The sequence below is a fragment of the Homo sapiens genome, chromosome X (genome assembly GCF_000001405.40).
Source record: "Homo sapiens chromosome X, GRCh38.p14 Primary Assembly".
Classification (NCBI taxonomy): Eukaryota; Metazoa; Chordata; class Mammalia; order Primates; family Hominidae; genus Homo; species Homo sapiens.
In genome coordinates, this window is record NC_000023.11 from 106,839,198 (window position 1) to 106,863,485 (window position 24,288).

Consider the following 24,288-nt stretch of genomic DNA (forward strand, 5'->3'; position numbering starts at 1 on the left):
TTTGTTATGTATACAGATTGTGGCTTATAAATAACAGTAAACATTAGAACTTTTTTTTCTTGTAGAAACGTAAGCATGCATCTGGGACAACTACATTCTTTCTTTTTCAGCTTGCTATTAGTTCTGAGTCTACAGAGCCATCTGATAATTTTGAGGTGCAATCTTTGACAAGTCAGAGGGAATGCAGTAAAACTGTGAACACTGAAGCCTTAATGACAGTATTTCACCCTCAGAATTTGGAGACTCTTAATTCTAAAATGGTAGGAAAACAAAATATTTAAACCTATGGGCTGAAACATTTGGTGAAAAGTAAAAATCTTAAAAGCAGACTAGAAGGTATCACAACTGAAAACTCTTCTTTTGGGACTTGAAAAGTTTTCCAGCAGGTACTACTGTGTAACTTATTTAGTTCCACTGTACACAAGGACTATTATCAGGAATGAAGATAAAAGATAAAAGTTGGACATTGGGGATTTTTACAGATACATAATAGTCGTACATATTTATTGACATTGGGTTTTATTTGCATGGATTTCTAATCCTTACATAGATGTGATTTGGGGAGAATGATGGTTTAAAGCTTTGCCTCCCAAGTATAACACTTTTACCATTTTTATATGAGTTTAGCTAAGAATTAAAATAGTAAATTAAGCTGCTATGCTCACATGAGTTTAAAAGATTTTCATGATGACAAGGATTCAGTGTTTCACCCCTGGGTGAATACTGATTTTGGTTTTCTATGTTCTTAATTTCTATAGATGTTGTTTCAAGGTAAAGAGAGTGGGAAAGTTATTTTGCAGAAGTTAATTTCTCACTAAATTTAGTTGTTTTGATTTTTCTGTCATTACAGTTGAAAGAAAAAATGAAGGAACAGTCATGGAAAATACTGTTTGCAGAATGTGGACGTGGTGTTAGTATGTTTCGAACCAAAAAGACTCGAGATCTTGTTGTAAGAGGGATTCCAGAAACATTAAGAGGAGAACTCTGGATGCTTTTTTCAGGTATTACGTTTATTCATTGTATTTATTTAATAGACATTAACTATGCCTTTCTAGGAGTTATGCCCTAAGCTAAAGCAAAAGAATTACAAAGATGGTTAATACAAAGTCTTACTCATCTTGAGTTCGGACTAGTCAAAGAAAGAAAGGTAAGTAGTTATCTATACCTTACCTATCTATCCACACATCCAGCATCTGAGCACATTAGTTTATTAGGCAAGATATGTATACTGGGGGAATCTTTAGTGTCAACAGTCAGTTAAGGGGGAAAAAAGCTCATGAAATTGGTATTCTGTTGGATAAATTAGTAGCTTGACATAGATTCTAGTGTAAAGCTCTTTTCTGTTTGTGCTCAGAAATCACTTAAGCATAAGGCTAAATATCAAGGTAATGAAATCCAATTATTTATGTATATATGGAAATAGCTTCATTATATCCACCTTCTGTTGTATGTTAATGTAATAATCTTCACAGGTGCTGTTAATGACATGGCTACTAATCCTGACTATTATACTGAAGTGGTTGAGCAGTCCTTAGGGACCTGCAACTTGGCTACTGAAGAAATTGAACGTGATTTACGTCGCTCTCTGCCTGAGCACCCAGCCTTTCAGAGTGATACTGGCATATCTGCTCTGAGAAGGGTACTCACAGCTTATGCATACAGGAATCCCAAAATTGGATACTGCCAGGTATGACTTAACTATGAGCCCAACTGTGTGTATGTTCCAAATAAAATCACATCAAATCCAATTCCACTAATTTGGAAGTGGCGATTATAAGGAAAGAGATGGGGGTGAGATAGATAGAGCATAGTATTAATGTAAGTAGGATGGTAGTGGGAATACTTAGGAGAATTGATATTTCATTATTTTTCTTTTTCACTTAACAAATGTTTATTGAACTTCTGCTCTATAAAAGATACTCTGCTAGGTACTTAAGGCTATATAAAGATGTATCAGATAAGGGTCCTCCCTTAAAAGTATGTAGACCAGGAGACATTAAAGCATATTCATTAAGAAACAAAAATCAAGTGAGAAAAACTGTTAGAGAAATATAAATTCCTGTCATGATTTATAACAAGGAGAAACTATTTTTCATCTGGAGGAGTCAGAGAAGGCTTCGTGGAAAAGGTAGCATTTGCAAGTCTTAAAAATTGGTGAATTTTGGACATATGGAAATGGAATGAAAAGAACATGCCAGGTGATGGAATCCATGTAACCGAACATAGGTAGAGGTAAACGTAAAGTATGTATAGGACCATGTTTGTTTAGTTTGGTAGAAACATAGGGTGGATGAAGTGAAGTAGTTGGAGAAAAAAAATCAATAAGGTAGATTGGGATAGAGCTGGAGTTTGAATTTTATTTTATAGGCAGTGGAGGAATCATTGGAAAAAAATTATTTAGGAGCACACAATCAATTAGGATAGGCTAGACTGCTAACACAAACACAGATAATAGATGAAACAGTATAATTTTATTTCTTGAAGGAATAAACAAAGGAGATTGACTCTTCAGGTCAGTAGGCAGCTCTCCTCCATGAGATTATTCAGGAACTTAGACTGTAGACTGACAGCAGACTGTCATTTTCAAAACAAACCTTCCCGAGTACATTTTCATCACCATTAGCACTCACAGGAACAGGGAAAGAGCATGGAGAAACAACTGTGAAAGATTTTATGGGCTAGGCTTGAAAGGGGCAAATATCACTTCATGCACATTCTATTGGATGATCTTAGTCACGTGGATACACCTATTCACAAGGAAGTCTGTGGAGTATAGCGTGGCTGAGCAGACATGAGCAGCTACTATGGAAGAAGAGGAGATTGGAATGTCATGGATAGGTAGCACTCTGTGCCATACGTTTATTTATAATGGGTTGAATACCTGTAATTGTTACATGTCAATACTACCTATCCACTGTAACTTGTCAATAGAGATTTTTTTTTTTTGAAAAACTGTTTAAGTGAATGGAACATCTAAATGGCAAGGATTTTTAGCATATTTTAGGATCTCTGAAAGGTACAAAAGAAGCATAATGCTTCTTTTCTCAAAGAGCTTATACTCACAGACCCTGTGATATTGTCTATAAGCAGTAGTTTAGAGATAGCTTCAAAATAGGCAGCACTTAATATTGACTTCTAAAAGATGAGAGCAAAGTTAGAAACATGGAGGGCAGGAGGAAAGTTATTTGGGGCTAAAGTATGAGTGATACCATTCAGGTGAGAATAAGCCCACCTTGGGAGATAAGATTGGCTAGGTTCACATTGGAATAAAAAAGTAAATTTGTATGGCACAAGATCATGAAGAATCTTTCAAGCCTGGGAAAAGAATTTAAACTTAATATGGTAGACAGATTTTGTTGGTTTTGATCAAAAACCCACGTGAGACACATGGCTGGCTAGCTTGCTCTATCTATCTATCTATCTATCTATCTATCTATCTATCTATCTATCTATCTATTCTGTCTCTCTAATCTTTTCTATCATCTGTCTCCATCTATCTATCTAATGTTGATATATAATTCACTTACCACAAACGTCACCCCTTTAGTGGTCTCTCATATATTCACAAAGTTGTGCAAACCTTCACCATTATCTAATTCCAGAACATTTTCATCACCCTAAAAAGAAGCCCCATATCCATTAGCAGTTACTCCCCATTTCTCCTACTACCAACCCAAGCAATCACTGATCTACTTTCTAGCTCTATGAATATGCCTATTGTGCACATTTTATATAAATTGAGTGATACAATATGTGATCTTTTGTGCCTGCCTTCTTTTACTTAGCATATCATTTTCAAAGTTCATCCATGTTGTAGCATGTATCAGGACTTCTTTCTTATGATTTAATAATATTCCATTATATGGATATATACCACATTTTGTTTATTCAATGTTAATAGTTATTTGAGATGTTTTCTTGTTTTGGCTGTTGTGAATAATGCTGCTATGAATATTCATGTACAAGTTTTTTATGGACATTGCTTTATTATTCTTGTGGGTAAATATCTTGAAGTGAAATTTCTGGGTTATATGATAACTGTCTGTTTAACATTTTGGCGCACTGTCAAACTATTTTCCAAAGAGACTGCACCATTTTATATTCCCTCCAGCAATGTATGAGGGTTCTATTTTTTCTTTGTCTTTATTTTATTTTATTTTTTTACCAAATCTCCCCTTCATTGTATGTACAAGGATTCTAATTTCTGCACATCCTTGACAACACTTCTTAATTGTCTTTCTTTTTGATTGCAGCCATTCCGGTGAGCGTGAAGTGGTGCCTTGGCACTCTTGTTGAAAATTAGTTGACCATAAATGTTAGAGTTTATTTCTGGACTCTCAATTCTATTCCATTGATTTATACTTCTACCCTTATACCAGTGCCACATTGTCTTGATTACTGCATCTGTGTAGTAAGTTTTGCAATCAGGAAGTGTGAGTTCTTTAACTTTGTTCTTTTCTAAGATTGTTTTGGCTCTTTTAGTTCCTTGTATTTCCATACAAATTTTAGGATCAACTTGTCAATCTCTGCAAACAAGAAAAAAAAAAGGCAGCTGGGATTTTGATAGTCATCATATTGAATCTGTAGATCAATTTCGGGAGTATTTCATATTAACAATATTAACTCTTCCAACCCATAAACACAAGATGTCTTTCCTTTTCATTTATTTAATCATTCTTTAATCTGTCTCATCCAAAGATGTTTTATAGTTTTCAGTGTTCAAGGCTTGTACTTCCTTTGTTAATTTTATTTCTAAGTATTTTAATTTTTTGTTATTATAGTAAATTGAATTGTTTTCTTGATTTCATGTTTTGATTGTTTGTTGCCAGCATATAGAAATACAACTGATAACTGATCTTGTGTTCTGTAAGTTTGCTAAGCTTATTTATTAGTTCTAGTAGATTTTTTTGTGGATTAATTAGGATTTTCTATATACAAAATCATGGCATCTGAATAGTGTTACTTTTACTTCTCTTATTCCAGTATGGATGTCTTTTTTTCCCTTATTCTTGCCTAGTTGACCAGGCTAGAACCTTCGGTACAATGTTGAATAGAAGTGGTAAGAATGCATGTCCCTGTCTTGTTATTTATCTTAAGGGGAGTAATCAGTCTTTCACCATAAAGTATAATGTTAACTGTGGGTTTCTTGTAGATCATCTTTATCAGGTTGCGGAAGTTCTCTTATATTGCTAGTTTGTTGAGTGTTTTTATCATGAAGGAGTATTGATTTTGTCAAATGATTTTTCTGTGTCAATTGAGATGATCATGTTATTTTTTCCATATATATATATATATAAACATATATATATAAACATATATATATATACACACACACACATATATATAAACATTGATGGATTGTTATATGTTGAATCACTTTTGCTTTCCCAGAATAAATCCCACTTGGCCTTTTGGGATCCTTTTTATGTGTTCTTAAGTTCAGTTTGCTAGCATGTTGTTGAGGATTTTTATGCTTATATTTGTAAGATATATTGATATATAGTTTTTTTGTGATGTCTTCGTCTACTTTGGGTGTCTAGGTTTCTTAGAATAAGTTGGATAGCGTTTCCTCCTTTCCTATTTTTTGAAGAGTTTATGAAGAATTGGTGGTAATTATTCTCTAAATGTTTGGTAGAATTTGCCAGTGAAGCCATCTGCTCTTAGAGTTTGCTTTGTGGAAAGTTTTTTCATTACTAAGTCAATCTCTTTATTTATTATAGGTCTATTTCACTTTTCCCATTTTAGTTTCAGTAGTTTGTGGTTTTTTTTAGAAACTCGTCCATTTTATCTAGATTATCTAATTTGTTGGCATATAATTTTTCATCATAATCACTTATAATCTTTTTTACTTCTATAAGGTTGATAGTTCTCTATTTCCTGGCTATAATAATTTGAGTCCCCCTTCTCACACTCTTGCTCTTGCACACTCTCACTTTTGCACTCTTGATCTCTCACTCGCACTATCTCGTTCTTGCTCTTTTTTTTTGGAAAATTTTTTTAGTTAGGCTACCTAAAAATATTTCTATGTTTTTTATCCTTTTTGTCTTTTTTAATCTTTTCAAAGAACCAACTTTTGCTTTTGTTGATTTTTCTCTATTTCTAGTCTTTTTTTTAATTATATTTTAAGTTTTAGGGTACGTGTGCACAATGTGCAGGTTAGTTACATAGGTATACATGTGCCATGCTGGTGTGCTGCACCCATTAACTCATCATTTAGCATTAGGTATATCTCCTAATGCTATCCCTTCCCCCTCCCCCCACCCCACAACAGTCCCCAGAGTGTGATGTTCCCCTTCCTGTGTCCATGTGTTCTCATTGTTCAATTCCCACCTATGAGTGAGAATATGCGGTGTTTGGTTTTTTGTTCTTGCAGTTAGAATTATTTCTAGTCTTTATCACTTTCTGCTCGCACAAAGCTGGAAGATTAGCTGGAGATAAGAGCTTAGGTCTTTTCTGTTCTTTCCTAAGAATACATACAACTGTGAGTATACATAAAGCCATATGCATGTAGTTGGCCTTCTGGGTTCCCAGGAATATGTCACAGTTTTTCAAAGCCCCCACTTTTCTTTTAACACTTTGTTAGCGTATTGTTTGGCCCAACTGCTATCCACTGCCTTGGATAGCCACATGTTCAACAACTGCCTCTGATTGTTTTCAACAAACACCACAGGGGAAAAGGCTGTTTACACCAGAGGAGCTCTGTGTCAAGTCAAATAAAGACAGTCTTGTGAGAGGAGTCTTCCAGGGAACCACTAGACAAGTCAAATAACAACAATTATTTGGGAATGGGGCTTTGCTGGAGTTCCAACCCCAATCTGTTCCATTCAGTAGCTACTAGGTACTGGTTTCCACTGTAATTGCTAGATGTTGGTTTCTTTCTTTTTTCTCTCTCTCTCTCTTTTTTTTTTTTTTTTTTTTTTAATGATAGAGTCTCACTCTGTTGCCCAGGCTGGAGTGCAGTGGCATGATCTTGGCTCACTGCAACCTCCACCTCCCAGGTTCAAGCGATTCTCCTGTCTCAGCCTCACGAGTAGCTGGGATTACAGGTGTGCACCACCATGCCCTGCTATTTTTTCTTTATTGTATTTTTAGTAGATACTGGGTTTCACCATGTCGGCCAGGCTGGTTATGAACTCCTGACCTCAAGTGATCCACCCACCTCGGCCTCCCAAAGTGCTAGGATTACAGGCATGAGCCACCGCACCCGGCCTAGATGTTGGTTTTTAAGGCTACTGTGAAACTGGGGAGGGGGGTGGGAATAGGGCAATTTAAAATGCCACAGAGCTTACTGGTTTTACTGAGATTCAGCCATTTTATTAAATAAATGCTACCTGAATTGCTGTAAGCTATTGGTTAATTTCCAGAGTTCTAAAGTTGATTCCGATGACTTTTGTCAGTGTTCTTGTTGCTTTTATAGAGGAGAGCATTTTTAGAAGTTCTTACTCTGCCATTTTTACTACATCCCCTCCTAGTATGGCTTCTTGCATGGGAAAATGATTCAGTAAAAACTAAGCTTGACATCAAACAGTGTACTAGATTAGGCAAGAAATTGGCATAGTTAATATACAAATCTATATGAAAGGTATGAAAGTATAAAAATGAGCAATGGACATGAAAGGATTAATCACAGAAGAGAAAATACAGGTTGATGTTAAAGTCTGAAAAAGAAAGTTCAACCTCAAAGAAATTAAAATTAAAACAATGAGCTACCATTTTTCACTATCAAATCAATAAAGATGATTATAGTTATTACGATTCACAATATTGGCAAAGATGCAGTGAAATAAACATTTAAACACTATTGGTCAGAAATATAAATTGGTATTTTCTTTCAGGAATTTAATTTGGCAATAATATGAAGTCTTTTAAAAATACCATGTGACCAAACAATTTCATTTCTAGGTATGTGTCCTGAGAAAAAAGTATAGTTGGATGAAAATTTATATAAAAAAGATAACCATTGCAGCATTATATGTAATAGTAAAAAATTTGAATTAACCTAAATGTCCAACAATAGTAGAATGGTTAAATAATTTATATTAGATCCACCTTAGATTTTTTTAGTCATTAAAAATACTGTTTTAGAAGAATATTTAGTGGCATTGAATATTACTATATAGTGCTAAGCAAAAAAATAAAGATTTAGTACACAGTGTGATACAAATTTTAGGAGAAAAAGGAAGAAAAAACTGCAGAAAAATATATCAACTTGTTAACAGTTTATTTCTGGGTACATAGGATACAAGAGGTTTTATTTTCTCATTCATACTTTTCCATTCTCTCCAAATTCTATCCATTAAGGATTTATTACTTTATAATAAGGGATGTGGCAATGTATATAAAAGTAATGATCTGACATTTGTATGCAAGATAGGTAAGAAGCAGCAGCAAGTTAGAGTGGTAGTGGGAATGGGAAGGAAAAAGCAAATCCGAAAGACGTTTTATAAGAAGAAACTCTAGGATATGAAACAGATGCAGCAGATAGAGGGTTTTCAGCATAATCAAAACTAGGATAGGTAAGAAGAATCCTACTTGATAGGGGAAAGAAGATATTCAGTTTTGGACAAAATTGAGGATGATTCATATCTGAGGGCTATTTCTTTATAGGTAGTTGGAAATACAGATGAAGTTCGTTTTCTTTCGTTTTAGTATGTCTTTGAAAATTATGTAGGCTTTTTTCAGATTAGTGATAATTAAGGTTTTTCACTCTTCGAAATTAGAGAGGTTTTGCTTATTATGTTCTGTATTTATTATATTACTGCTTCACTTTTCTTGAATGTTACTTTATAAAATAACTGATTATCAAATGTTAGCCTGACTTCACCTTGTTTTGCCTTGGACTGGCTCAGAGTTCTCATGTTTCCACTGTTATTACACTATTATTACTCTCAGTTGTTCTTGTTGCTGTCAAAAACTATTATGTTTGAAGAAGTATAATTATTACTTGAGCAATATTTGCTTTTTAATACTGTTTTCTATGAATTTTAGGCAATGAATATTTTGACTTCAGTGCTGCTTCTATATGCAAAAGAGGAAGAAGCTTTTTGGCTTCTGGTTGCTGTATGTGAACGAATGTTGCCTGATTATTTTAATCGTCGAATTATTGGTAAAAGAAAAACCACACACACACATATGCATACACACACAGAGATGTATATTTCCTTTCTAAACAATTTCAGTGTCTCTTGTCTAATTACTAATAAAGTAGAAGGACTGATGGATTATGTTGTGGTATAAAATGCAAGCAATATCAAAATGTCACATTCACTGACATTCTCAAAAGAAGAGCTTTTTGTACTGAATGTATAGTCAGAAAGATTGTTTAATATGTTGCTTTTAAAAATAAAATACCTGGTCTGTTTCTTAACAAAAATGGAAGCATTAAGTTTATAAACTCTATGTTGCTAAAACAATGGTGATCTCAAGTATCCACAGCTACTGGTGAATTTTTGTAGTTTTTTGATGGGAGGGAGATTTCAATCTGCTTAAAATCTCCATATTTGTATGAATTATATAGATATTTGCAAGATTTCAAAGAAGGATCGAGTTCTTAGTTTGTTAATTGTATAATTTTTATTTTATTTTATTTTATTTTATTGAGACGGAGTCTTGCTCTGTCGCCCAGGCTGGAGTGCGGCCTCGGCTTACTGCAAGCTCCACCTCCTGGGTTCACGCCATTCTCCTGCCTCAGCCTCCCGAGTAGCTGGGACTACAGGCACCCGCCACCACGCCTGGCTAATTTTTTTTTTTTTTGTATTTTTAGTAGAGACGGGGTTTCACCGTGTTAGCCAGGATGGTCTCAATCTCCTGACCTCGTGATCCACCCACCTCGGCCTCCCAAAGTGCTGGGATTACAGGTGTGAGCCACCGCGCCTGGCCAATATTTTCTTTAATCATCAAATATTTACAGATCTGTGACCACTTACCTTAAAACTTATGAATGGTCTCTTTGTACCGTAATAGGCTTTCAGGATTGTGGTTAGGTCATCGATTTTACTGTCTTTCATTATAATTATTTGTGTATTTTTTTTTTTTTTTTTTTTTTAGGTTCAGATGATTTTATGCCACTAGTAAGAATCCAAGGACAATGTGTTATTGGGGAGAAGTAGAAAAAGGAAAATCTGGGGTAGCACCTGGCATGCTCTTTCTCCAATTTTCTACTACTTACTCCTATTCCCCAAATTCTCCCATCAAGGAGGAAATGAACTCTGAGACAGAAGATGAGTTTTCCTCAAAGCTTGACCAGGATATAAGTGGATGCCTTATTGGGCAAAGCAGAGGGTAACCAATTAGAAGGCCCTGGCTTCTCTTGATTGATAGCTGAGAACTCATCAGAGGGATCAGTGCTTTCTCTGTGTATTGCTGGAGTCTGAAAGTGTGACTCTCATGTCACTGATTCATTTCTGAAGTGTTAAATTCAGAATAAATTTTTGATAATCAAAATGAACTTAGAGAACTTTGTTGTTTGGCATTGTCAAGAGTGAAGAATTCTAATTATTTGTGTATTTATCTTGTGTTATGCTAGATATTAAACTCCCTGAACATGAGACTATTTCATTAATTGGTATAGCTCTTATAATACCTAGTACAGGTCTCTGCATATAATAAAGACTCAATAAATAACTCTTCAAATGAATTTGAATTGTGTTTCTGAAGTACATGACACTACTAGCAGTTAGATGTATAAAATACAGAAGAGGTTCTGAAAGAGTTCATAATTTAAGGAAGAAGAATGAGATACATCAGCATGCTAATAGAAGTGGGGAGGTATGGAAACAAGTCCTTTTGAAAAATGTTTATTTTTAAACTTCTTTTGATATTCTGTAGGTGCCTTGGTGGATCAGGCAGTCTTTGAAGAACTTATCAGGGATCACCTTCCTCAGCTGACAGAACACATGACTGATATGACATTCTTTTCCTCAGTTTCTCTCTCTTGGTTTCTCACACTTTTTATTAGTGTGCTACCTATTGAAAGTGCAGTGAATGTGGTGGACTGTTTCTTCTATGATGGAATAAAGGCCATTTTGCAACTGGGATTGGCAATACTTGACTATAATTTAGACAAACTGCTGACTTGTAAAGATGATGCTGAAGCTGTGACAGCCTTAAACAGGTATTGTAAGAACCATAACATTTAAATCTGGAGGAGATTTGAGAGATGATGTTGTTCAATCCCCTATTTTACAGAGGAAACTGAGCCCTAGAAATTTCAGTTTGTCCGAGATTACAAAACCACTTGAATGAAAGAGCTACACCTAAAGTCCAGTCCTCTATCTCCAGAAAAAATATAGCAAGAATAAATCACTTTGAAGTGAACCACTAAATTATGTACACATTTACACTAATATTGTTGATTCAGTATGCTAGGACTTTCATATTCCCAGTTTGAGCTATAAAGTGTCTATGTAGAATTAGTTCAAGCAGGAAAAGCATAGTTGATAATGTTAAATATCCAGTGGCCGGGAAGTTATTCTGGTTTCTATGTGGTTTCAGGTGGGTTGAACTTTATTTTCCTAGTAGCTTCTGTATGAATGCTATTTTGTATTGGAGCACATGTGTTGTATGTGTGTGTATGTGTATATGCACACATTTGTATATGCTAAATGAATAAATTTGAGTGGGCAACTATCATAATGCCACATGAAATCCCATTATGTACAGAATAAAATACAAACATCTTACTCTGGCATTCAGAACTCTGTGGTAAGGGCTCAGTGTACCTTTCTTCACTTATTTCCCCCTATATGCTTCTACATACCCTATATTCCACTCTTACTGAGCTGTGTGGTATTTGCCAAGTACTCTCTGAGCCTGTTTGCTTCCTTCAAAACCCCAAAATGATTCCTACACTATCCCATTTCCCTCACCCATGCCCTCCTAATGCTCAACCATCTTCAAACTCCACTTCTTGACCGGGTGCGGTGGCTCATGCCTGTAATCCCAGCACTTTCGGAGGCCGAGGCAGGTGGATCACCTGAGGTCAGGAGTTCAAGACCAGCCTGGCCAACATGGCAAAACCTCGTCTCGACTAAAAATACAAAAATTAGCCAGGCGTGGTGGTGAACACCTGTAATCCCAGCTACTTGGGAGGCCGAGGCAGAATAATTGTTTGAAATCAGGAGGCGGAGGTTGTAGTGAGCCAAGATTGTGCCATTGCATTCCAGCCTGGATGACAGATCAAGACTCCATCTCAAAAACAAAAAACAAGTTCCACTTCTTTTTTTGTTATTATTATACTTTAAGTTTTAGGGTACATGTGCACAACGTGCAGGTTTGTTACATATGTATACATGTGCCATGTTGGTGTGCTGCACCCATTAACTCATCATTTAACATTAGGTATATCTCCTAATGCTATCCCTCTCCCCTCCCCCACCCCACAACAGTCCCCAGTGTGTGATGTTCCCCTTCCTGTGTCCATGTGTTCTCATTGCTCAATTCCCACCTATGAGTGAGAACATGCGATGTTTCATTTTTTGTCCTTGCGATATTTTGCTGAGAATGATGGTTTCCAGTTTCATCCATGTCCCTACAAAGGACATGAACTCATCATTTTTTATGGCTGCATAGTATTCCATGGTGTACATGTGCCACATTTTCTTAATCCAGTCTATCGTTGTTGGACATTTGGGGTGGTTCCAACTCTTTGCTATTGTGAATAGTGCCGCTATAAACATATGTGTGCATGTGTCTTTATAGCAGCATGATTTATAATCCTTTGGGTATATACCCAGTAATGGGATGGCTGGGTCAAATGGTATTTCTAGTTCTAGATCCCTGAGGAATCCCCACACTGACTTCCACAATGGTTGAACTAGTTTACAGTCCCACCAACAGTGTAAAAGTGTTCCTATTTCTCCACATCCTCTCCAGTACCTGTTGTTTCCTGACTTTTTAATGATCGCCATTCTAACTGGTGTGAGATGGTATCTCATTGTGGTTTTGATTTGCATTTCTCTGATGGCCAGTGATGATGAGCATTTTTTCATGTGTTTTTTGGCTGCATAAATGTCTTCTTTTGAGAAGTGTCTGTTCATGTCCTTCGCCCACTTTTTGATGGGGTTGTTTGTTTTTTTCTTGTAAATTTGTTTGAGTTCATTGTAGATTCTGGATATTAGCCCTTTGTCAGATGAGTAGGTTGCAAAAATTTTCTCCCATTCTGTAGGTTGCCTGTTCACTCTGATGGTAGTTTCTTTTGCTGTGCAGAAGCTCTTTAGTTTAATTAGATCCCATTTGTCAATTTTGGCTTTTGTTGCCATTGCTTTTGGTGTTTTAGACATGAAGTGCTTGCACATGCCTATGTCCTGAATGGTATTGCCTAGGTTTTCTTCTAGGGTTTTTATGGTTTTAGGTCTAACATGTAAGTCTGTAATCCATCTTGAATTAATTTTTGTATAAGGTGTAAGGAAGGGATCCAGTTTCAGCTTTCTACATATGGCTAGCCAGTTTTCCCAGCACCATTTATTAAATAGGGAATCCTTTCCCCATTGCTTGTTTTTGTCAGGTTTGTCAAAGATCAGATAGTTGTAGATATGCGGCATTATTTCTGAGGGCTCTGTTCTGTTCCATTGATCTATATCTCTGTTTTGGTACCAGTACCATGCTGTTTTTGTTACTGTAGCCCTGTAGCCTGGTAGTATAGTTTGAAGTCAGGTAGCATGATGCCTCCAGCTTTGTTCTTTTGCCTTAGGATTGACTTGGCGATGCGGGCTCTTTTTTGGTTCCATATGAACTTTAAAGTAGTTTTTTCCAATTCTGTGAAGAAAGTCATTGGTAGCTTGATGGGGATGGCATTGAATCTATAAATTACCTTGGGCAGTATGGCCATTTTCATGATATTGATTCTTCCTACCTATGAGCATGGAATGTTCTTCTATTTGTTTGTATCCTCTTTTATTTCCTTGAGCAGTGGTTTGTAGTTCTCCTTGAAGAGGTCCTTCACATCCCTTGTAAGTTGGATTCCTAGGTATTTTATTCTCTTTGAAGCAATTGTAAATGGGAGTTCACTCATGATTTGGCTCTCTGTTTGTCTGTTATTGGTGTATAAGAATGCTTGTGATTTTTGTACATTGATTTTGTATCCTGAGACTTTGCTGAAGTTGCTTATCAGCTTGAGGAGATTTTGGGCTGAGACGATGGGGTTTTCTAGATATACAATCATGTCATCTGCAAACAGCAACAAAGTTCCACTTCTTCATAAGACCTTCCCTTGTCCTCTCAGTTGAAAGTAACCTCTAACTAACTAGGGAGAAATTATGTGTCATTTCTCTGCTTTAATAATGGTAGTTCCACTAATTCTTGTATTACTATCACTTTTCAATAGGTTCTTTGACAATGTCACTAATAAGGATAGTCCATTGCCTTCAAATGTTCAGCAAGGTTCAAATGTGAGTGATGAAAAAACCAGTCATACTAGAGTGGATATTACAGATTTGATTAGAGAATCAAATGAGGTAAGTTTTTTCATGCCATAAATATATTAGCTAGCATATTTAAAATGATTGAACTATGGTCTATCTCTAATGGTATATTAAGTGTAAGATAATAATGCAAGTAGACATACAACTTAAAATCCAACTTAACTTTTAAAATGAGTTCTGTGAACTGTTCTAGGTTGTGTAACCTCCTCTGCCTCAATTTGTTTTTCATTAAATGAAATTAAATTCACTTGCTTTCACAAATAATGACCACTTTAAACATCTATCACTGGATTAAAAGGTGAATTATTCTCATTATTATTATTCACTTCTTAGAGATTAAGAATTTTACCTATATTTTTGTACTTAGTCTATTCACATAGTAGATGGAATTCTCTCCAGTGAATATATTTAAAAACTGAAACGTGGGAGGTAAAAATTTGCAAAATCATTGAACAAGTCAGGAAATTCCCTAGAAATAGAATCAAGGCCTCCAAGAATTCAGTCTGATAAAACTGAATTGTAAAAGAAAAAGTGGATGTTTATTATGAGTGAGTAGCCACTGAAATCATATCTCTTGCAGAAATATGGTAATATTCGCTATGAAGATATACATAGTATGCGCTGTCGAAATAGGTTGTATGTGATACAGACCCTAGAGGAAACAACAAAACAGAATGTGGTAAGTATGCAACCAATGAGGAAAAACCAGTTGGAGTAATTTTTTTTTTCTATAACTTTCTTTAGAAATTATCTTCTGGGCGAATAAAATGAAAAGGACTAAACTTTTGAGCTAGATCCTTGCCAAGGTTTACCCTATGGTAAATTCTTTTTTAGAGAAAATACATTATTTTCTTCTGGTTGAATTATGTTGCTTTCTCCAACATGTTTTGTACTATTTGACCTTCAAGACCACTGAGACAGGGTCTCGTTCTGTTGCCCAGGCTGGAGTGCAGTGGCATGATCGCAGCTCACTGTAGCCTCTACCTCATGGGCTCAAGAGATCCTTCTTCCTCAGCCTACCGAGGAGCTGGGACTACATGCACACACCACCATGCCTGGCTAATTTTTAAATTTTTTTTTTAGAGATAGGGTCTCAGTATGTTTCCCAGGCTGTCTCAAACCCATGGGCTCAAGAGATCCTCCTTGCCTAGGCCTCCCAAAGGGTTAGGATTACAGGCGTGAGCTACCACACCTAGCCTGCAGCTCAGTGTTGAATGCTATCATGTTGGCATTTAAGCATAACATATTTGTGATGTGCTGCATCAGTAAGAACAGCCGATCTACATAGTAGTCAGTGCTCCAATGAATATTATTATCCTTGGATACCTAAAGTAAATACTATGTTTTAAATACTTGTCTTTTTAATATTTGGATGGCTCCATAAGCAACTGTTAATATTGGTTGCCTTTGGTGAATCGGATTAATAGATTGCTGGTCAGAAGGAGGAGAGTTTTACTTTGCTGTTTATATTCTTCTGTACTGTTTGAGCTTTTATCATGACCATGTGTTGTTTTTGTAAACCTACTTGCTTAAAGGCCAAGGTCCTCAGAGATACAAATCTGGGAAGATTAATGTTTCTGAAGATTCCAGGTTTAGATTTCAATTGAATAATTCAGTGAGGTTACTGTGACATAGTTAGCATAGGGCCCCTTGTTTTAGTTTTTATATGTTAGCATTTTTAAAAATTTACTGAAGTAATACATGCTCACTGTAAATAATTTAAGCATTACATAAATGTAAAAAGTAGATTCCCCACCCCAGAAGTAACCATCTTAAAATAATTTGGCATATATCCTTTCAGATCTTTTATCTAGGTGTCTGCACACATGCATGTGTATTGGAAGGATATAGTTTTTGAAATGAGATCATACCAGTCACTTTGCTCTGCAACTTTTTTCATTCAGAAATAGATCATGGTTATTGAATATCAGTAAATATAGATCTACCTCACTCTTCCTAATGCATTGAATAGTATGCCATAATATGGATATGCTATAATTTATTCACTGCTGATGTACATTTAATATGTCTCCCTTTTTTGCTCTTACAAATAATACTTTATGTAAACATTCTTGTATATCTATTCTTTGCAAGATAGATATCTGGAAGTGGAAGCTGGGTAAAAGGGTATGCCCATTTAAAATTTGACAGGTCCCTGCCAAATTATGCTTCAAAAGATTTTGCCAAATTGTAATCCCACCAGCAGCCTGTAAGAATGCCCCTTTCCCCACATTCTCACTAACACCAGATATTTAAAATCTTGAATTTGTTGGCCAGGCATGGTGGCACACACTCGTAGTCCCAGCTACTCAGGAAGCTGCGACGGGAGGATCACCTTGAGCCTGGGAGTTCCAGGCTACAGTAAGCTATAATCATGCCACTGCACTCCAGCCTGGGCAACAGAGCTAGACCTTGTCTCTAAAACAAACAAAACAAAACAAAATCTTCAATTTGTGCCAATGTGATAGATCAAATACTTTTAAGGTTTCAATTCACTGATCACATATGTTTATTAGCCTTTTTAATTTCTTCTCTTAATTGCCTATTCATAGCCTTTGCTTATTTTTCTATGAGATTGTCTTAAGTATTGATTTGTAGAAGCTCTTTTGACTATTAGTAGTACCAGTTCTTTGTCAGCTATATTTGTGGCCTAATATTTTCCCCTAGTCTTATTATTTCTTTCATTATCTTTATAATGTCTTTCAGATTATACAAGTTACAAATTTTCTTGAAGTCTTTCTCTTTTTTATTACATGATATCTGGGTTTCATATCAAACTTAGCAGGCTTTCCCTATTTAAAATTATATAAATTATAAAAATATTTTTTCATATTGGCCTATAGTACTGGTATTGCTTTTTTAACATTTAGAACTTTAATATACCTAGAGTATATTTTTTTATTATGTAATATTATGTTTTTCCAACCAAAATCACTCATTTTCTAAAAACCAATTATTAAATAGTTTATCCTCACAGTACTCTACTTTCTTCATATGCTAAATTCTTATATACATACATGGGCTTTATTTTTGGACTCTCTTTTTTTGTTACTACAACAGTACCACACTCTTTCAATTACCATAGTTTGTCTACTTTGAAATCTGGTAAGGCTTTTATTCATTTTAACAGTCTGTCTTTTTAAATGTTCTTTAGTAAGCATTTTAATTTTCATCATCTAGGTCTTACACATTTCTTATTGGGTTTATTCTACCCCTATATATTTTATGGTTTTGCTGCTAATATGAATGAGATCATTTTTCCTTTACATTGCCTAATTCTTTATTGGCTGTGTGTGTAAAAGTTATTGATTTGGGTATGTTGCTTTTCTAAGTGGTCGCATTATTGACTCTCATTAATTGTACTATTTTTTTTAGTTGACCTCGAATTTTCTGAATAGACAAGCATGTCATTTCCAGTCTTAGAATTTTGACCCTTCCTAACATTTATACCTCTTTTCTTTTTTCTGTGTTATTGCATTAAGTAGGATCTTCAGAGAATTATTGAATAATAGCAGTAGAAGCAGGCTTCTTTGTCTTATTCTTTTTGTTTTTTTTGAGACTGAGTCTCACTGTCGCCCAGGCTGGAGTGCAGTGGCACAATCTCTGCTCACTGTAACCTCCACCTCCTGGGTTCAAGCAATTCTCCTGCCTCAGCCTCCCGAGTAGCTGGGATTACAGGTGCCTGTCACCATGCCCAGCTAATTTTTGTATTTTTAGTAGAGATGGGATTTCACCATGTTGACTAGGCTGGTCTCAAACTCCTGACCTCAGGTGATCCACCCGCCTCAGCCTCCCGAAGTGCTGGGTTTGCAGGCATGGCCACCACACCCAGCCGCAGGTTTGTTATATAGGTAAATTATGTGTCACAGGGTTTCGTGTACAGATTATCTCATCACACAGGTAATAATGGTACTCAATAGGTAGTTTTTTGATCTTCACCCTCCTCCCACCCTCCATACTCATGTAGGCCCCTGTTTCTATTGTTTCCCTCTTTGTGTCCATGTGTACTCAATGTTTAGCTCCCACTTATAAGTGAGAACATGCAGTATTTGGTTTTCTTTTCCTCTGTTAGTTCACTTAGGATAACGGTCTCCAGCTCCATCCATGTTGCTCCAAAGAACATAATATTATTCTTTTTTATGGCTGCATAATATTCCATGGTGTATATTGACCACATTTTCTTTATCCAGTCTACTGTTGATGGGCATCTAAGTTGATTCCATGTCTTTGCTATTGCAAATAATGCTGTGACATACATACACATACATGTGTCTTTATGGTAGAATAATTTATATTCCTTTAGGTATATGCCCAGTAATGGGATTTCTGAGTTGAATGGTAGTTCTCTGTTAAGTTCTTTGTGATATCTTCAAACTGCTTTCCACAGTGGCTGACTTAATTTACATTTCCACCAGCAGTGTATTAGCATTCCCTTTACTCCACAACCTCACCAGCATCTTGTTATTTTTTGACTTTTTAATAATCATCATTCTGATTGTGTGAGACGGTATCTCATTGTGATTTTGATTTGCATTTCTCTAATATTTAGTGATGTTGATCATGTGCTTGTTGGCTGCATGTAGGTCTTCTTTTGAAAAGTGTCTGTCCATGTCCTTTGCCCACTTTTTTATGGAGTTGTTTGATTTTTGGGTTTTGTTTTTTGTTTTTGTTTTGAGACAGAGTCTTGCTGTGTCACCCAGGCTGGAGTGCAGTGGTGCGATCTTGGCTCACTGCAAGCTCCGCCTCCCAGGTTCACGCCATTCTCCTGCCTCAGCCTCCTGAATAGCTGGAACTACAGGCATCCGCCACCATGCCCAGCTAATTTTTTGTATTTTTAGTAGAGACGGGGTTTCACCACATTAGCCAGGATGGTCTCAATCTCCTGACCTTGTGATCCACCCGCCTCAGCCTCCCAAAGTGCTGGGATTATAGGCATGAGCCACCACACCTGGCCTGGTTTTTAATTTTTTAACTTCCTATGGATTCTGGATATTAGACCTTTGTCAGATGCATAGTTTGCAAATATTTTTTCCCACTCTGTAGGTTGTCTGTTTACTCTGTTGATAGTTTTACTGTGCAAATGCTCCTTAGTTTAATTAGTCCCATTTGTCAAATTTTATTTTTGTTGCAATTGCTTTTGGCATTTTTGTTGTGAAATCTTTGCCACCGCCTATATCTAGAATGGTACTCCCTAGGTTTTCTTCAAGGCTTTTTATAGTTGTAGGTTTTACATTTAAGTCTTTAATCCATCTTGAGTTGATTTTTGTATATGGTGGAAGGTAGGGATCTAGTTTCAATCTTCTACCTGTGGTTAGCCAGTTATCCCAGCACCATTTATTGAATAGGTTGTCCTTTCCCCATTGCTTGTTATTGTTGACTTTGTTAAAGATCAGATGGTTATAGGTGTGCAGCTTTATTTCTGGGCACTCCATTCTGTTCCGTTAGACTATGTGTGTTTTTGTACCTGTACCATGCTGTTTTGGTTACTGTAGCCTTGTAGTATAGTTTGAAGGTGAATAACGTGATACCTCTAGCTTTGTTCATTTTGCTTAGTATTGCTTTGGCTATTTGGGCTCCTTTCTGGTTCCATATGAATTTTCTAGAATAGTTTTTTCTAATTCTGTGAAGAATGTCATTGGTAGTTTGATAGGAATAGCACTGAATCTTTAAATTGCTTTGGTTGGTATGGCCTTTTTAACAATATTGATTCTTCCTATCCATGAGAATGGAATGTTTTTCATTTGCTTGTGTCACCTCTGATTTCTTTGAGAAATGTTTTGTAATCCCCATTGTAGAGACCTTTCACCTCCATAGTTAGCTGTATTCCTAGGTATTTTACTCTTTTTTTGGCTATTGTGAGTAGGATTGAGTTCTTGATTTGGCTCTCAGCTTGGACTTTGTTGGTACATAGAAATGCTACTGATTTTTGTATTCTGAAACTTTGCCAAAGTTGTTTACTAAATCTAGGAGCTTTTGGGCTGAGACTTTGGGGTTTTCTACATATAGAATCATATCATCTGCAAATAGAAATAGTTTGACTTCCTCTCTTCCTATTTGGATGCCTTTTATTTCTTTCTCTTGCCTGATTGTTCGGGCTAGGACTGTCTGTACTATGTTGAACCAGAGTGGTGAGAGTGGGCATCCTTGTCTTCTGGTTCTCAAGGGGAATGCTTCCAGCTTTTACCCATTCAGTATGATTTTGGTTGTGGATTTGTCATAAATGGCTCTTATTATTTTGAGATACAGTTCTTCAATGCCTAGTTTGTTGAGGCTTTTTAACACGAAGTGATGTTGAATCTTACTGAAAGCTTTTTCTGCATCTATTGAGACGATCGTGTGGTTTTTGTTTTAGTTCGTTTTTGTGATGAATTGCATTAATTGATTTGTGTATGTTGAACCAACCTTGTATCCCAGGGATAAAGCATACTTGCTCATGGTGTGTTAGCATTTTGATGTGCTGCTAGATTTGGTTTGCTAGTAGTTTGTTGAGGATTTTTGCATCTGTTCTCCTCAAGGATATTGGCCTGAAGTTTTCTCTTTTTTTTGTTGTGTCTCTGCCAGTTATTGGTAGCAGAATGACACTGGCCTAAAAGAATGCGTTAAGGAGGAGTCATTTCTCCTCAATTTTTTGCAATAGTTTCAGTAGGAATGGTACCAGCTCTTCTTTATATGTCTGGTAGAATTTGGCTGTGAATCCATCTGGTACTGGGCTTTTTATGATTGGTGTGTGTGTGTGTGTGTGTGTGTGTGTGTGTGTGTGTGTGTGTGTTTCTGATTCAATTTTAGAACTTGTTTTTGGTCTGTTCAGGGTTTCAATTTCTTCCTGGTCCAATCTTGGCAAGTTGTGTGTTTCCAGGAATTTATCATTTCTTCTAGGTTTTCTAGTTTGTGTACATAGAGGTGTTCATAGTAGTCTCTGAGGGTATTTTTTGTATTTCTGTGGGGTCAGTGGTAATGTCTCTTTGTCATTTCTGATTGTGTCTATTTGTATCGTCTCTTTTTTCTTTGTTAGTTTAGCTAGTGGTCTATCAGTCTTATTTATTCTTTTAAATAGCCAACTCATGGATTCATTGATCTTTTGTATGGGTTTTCATGTCTTGATTTCATTCAGATCAGCTCTGATTTTGGTAATTTCTTGTCTTCTGCTAGCTTTGGGATTGGTTTGTTCTTGTTTTCCTAGTTCCTCTAGGTGTGATGTTAGGTTGTTAATTTCAGATCTTTCTAACTTTTTTATGTAAGCATTTATGCTGTAAACTTCCTTCTTAACACTGCTTTAACTGTGTACCAGAGATTCTGATATGTTGTATCTTTATTCTCATTAGTTTTAAATATTTCTTGATTTATTCCTTAGTTTCATTGCTTACCCAAAAGTCATTCAGGAGCAGATTGTTTAATTTTTATGTGATTATATGGTTTTGAGCAATCTTCTTAGTATTTATTTTCATTTTTATTATGCTATGGTCCAAAGAGTATAGTTGTTATGATTTTGGGTTTTTTGAATTTGCTGAGGATTGTTTTATGTCTGATTGTGTGGTTAATTTTAGAGTATGTGCCATGTGCAGACGAGAAGAATATGTTCTGTTGTTTTGGGGGGAAAAGTTCTGTAGATATCTGTTAGGTCCGTTTGGTCAAGTGTTGAGTTCAGGTCCCGAATATCTTTGTTAGTTTTCTGCCTTGATGATATGACTAATACTGTCAGTGGGGTGTTGAAGTCCCCCACTATTATTGTGTAGTTATCTAAGTCTCTTTATAGGCCTCTAAGAACCTGTTTCATGAATCTGAGTGCTCCTGTGTTGACTGCATATATATTTAAGATAGATGTCTTCTTGTTGACTTGAATCCTTTACCATTATATAATTCCTTTTTTGTTTTGTTTTGTTGTTGTTGTTGGCCTAAAGTCTGTTTTGTCTGAAATCAGAATAGCAAGCCCTGCTTTTTTCTGTTTTCCATTTGCTTGGTAGATTCTTCCTCAACCTTTTACTTTGAGCCTTTGGATGTCATTGCATGTGAGATAGGTCTCTTGAAGACATCATTCAGTTGCATCTCACTATCTTATCCAACTTGCCACTCTGTGCCTTTTAATTAGGGCAGTCTAGTTACATTCTGGTTAGCCTGTTTACATTCAAGGTTAATATTAATATGTGTAGATTTGATCCTGATATCATGTTGTTAGCTGATTATTATGCAAAACTGATTGTGTAGTTGCTTTATTGTGTCAATAGTCTATGTACTTAAGTGTGTTTTTGTAGTGGCTGATAATCGTCTTTCCTTTCCATATTTAGCACTCCTTTCAAGATCTCTTGTAAGGCAGATCTAATGAACATGAATTCCCTTAGCACTTGCTTGTCTGAGAAGGATCTTATTTCTCCTTTGCTTATGAAGCTTAGTTTGGCTGAATACGAAATTATTGGCTGGAGTTTCTTTTCTTTAAGAATGCTGAATATAGGCCTTCAATCTTTTTTGGCTTGTAGCATTTCTGCTGAATAGTACACTGTTAGGCTAATGGGATTTCCTTTTTAGGTGACCTGCTCCTTATCTCTAGCTGCCTTTAATATTTTTTCTTTCATGTTGACCTTGGAGAATCTGATGACTGTGTGGCTTGGGGATGGTAATCTTATATAGTATCTTGCAGGGGTTCTCTGCATTTCCAGAATTTAATGTTGTCCTGTCTAGCAAAGTTGGGGAAATGTTCATTTATTTTTGTCTAAGTTAATTCAGAGAACCAGTCTTCGAGTTCTGAGATTCCTTCCTCAGCTTGGTCTATTCTGTTGTTAATGCTTGTGATAGTATTATGAAATTCTTGTAGTAAGTTTTTCAGCCCTATCAGATCAGTTTGATTCTTTCTTAAAATGGTCATTTTGTCTTTCACCTCTTGTATCCTTTTATTGTATTCCTTAGATTCCTTGGATTGGGTTTCAACATTCTCCTGAATCTCAATGATCTTCATTTCTATGTAGATTCTGAATTATATGTCTGTCATTTCAGCCATTTCAGCCTGGCTAAGAACCACTGCTGGGGAACTAGTGCAGTTGTTTGGAGGTAAGGTGACACTCTGGTTTTTTGAGTTGCCAGAGTTCTTGTGCTGGTTCTTTCTCATCTGCGTGAGCTGATATTCCTTTAATCTCTGAAGTTGTTTTCCTTTGGATGGGTTTTTTTTTGTTTTTTTTTTTTTTTTTTTTTTTTTTGCTTTTATCTTCTTTGATGCCCTTGGGGGTTTGATTGTGGATTCAGTTGACTGGCTTTGATTTTGAAGATTTCAGATGGCCAAGGCTCACCTGAGCTCTCCTGAGATGAGTGTGCTACCTCTGCGGGGCTGGTACCAGACCCCCAGCTTTGTTCTCTGGGCCCTCGGGGCTAGGAACCTGCTCTGCCAGAGAGGCCAAGGTGTTCCCAGTCCACTGGCCTCAACACTACAATGGAGGTGCTAGCCAAAACACTTAGTCGGGGTGGTGGCGGTGGAATCCATGCTTGCTCGTGCATGCCAGCATCCGTGGCAGCGTGGCAGCATACACATGCATTGGCTCAGGCTGGGTGCTCGTAGGAGCCTTTACCTTAGTTTTCACAGGTGGTGTATACTGGCAGAATATTTTAGTGTTGTCTTTTGGGCTGCGATCCAGTAGGTGGCGCTTAAGAGTGTTAGCCAGCAGATAGCTTCTTGCTCTGCTGCATGGCTCCAGGGTAATGGTCTGTGAATGGGGACAGGGAGATGGCCCATTCACCTAGTCCACCCCTGGGCCTTGGAGGAACCCCTTCTGATTACTGGCTTCATGCCCGCATTTCTTTTGTTGGGTGCTCTGGTCCACAGGGCTCCCTCAGGTAGGAGCCACAGTTGGCAAACAGGTCTTATCCTTACTGGGTCGGCCCTGTG

At 36.5% G+C, this 24,288-nt stretch overlaps 1 protein-coding gene across 6 annotated transcripts in view, besides 1 other annotated feature; it reads left to right on the forward strand.

Moving 5' to 3' along the window:
* The window catches only part of TBC1D8B (TBC1 domain family member 8B), a 73,478-nt gene that overhangs the window by 36,525 nt on the left and 12,665 nt on the right, over positions 1-24,288 (forward strand). For 2 of the 6 annotated variants that reach the window (NM_017752.3, NM_001441215.1), the window contains exons 8-14: positions 111-260; positions 851-1,001; positions 1,473-1,687; positions 8,989-9,106; positions 10,828-11,113; positions 14,324-14,453; positions 15,001-15,099. In NM_017752.3, the coding sequence (NP_060222.2) occupies positions 111-260; positions 851-1,001; positions 1,473-1,687; positions 8,989-9,106; positions 10,828-11,113; positions 14,324-14,453; positions 15,001-15,099 (1,149 nt within the window). Of the gene's footprint in view, positions 1-110; positions 261-850; positions 1,002-1,472; positions 1,688-8,988; positions 9,107-10,047; positions 10,637-10,827; positions 11,114-14,323; positions 14,454-15,000; positions 15,100-24,288 lie in introns of those variants that run through there. The other 4 variants (XR_001755701.2, NM_001441214.1, NM_198881.2 and 1 more) reach the window with 4 other exon arrangements.
* Positions 24,081-24,140: an enhancer, noted in NCBI's record as "active region_29830". NCBI's record gives its function as "activates an Ori minimal core promoter by ATAC-STARR-seq in GM12878 lymphoblastoid cells {active_cell/tissue: GM12878}" and the evidence as "EXISTENCE:reporter gene assay evidence [ECO:0000049][PMID:35858748]".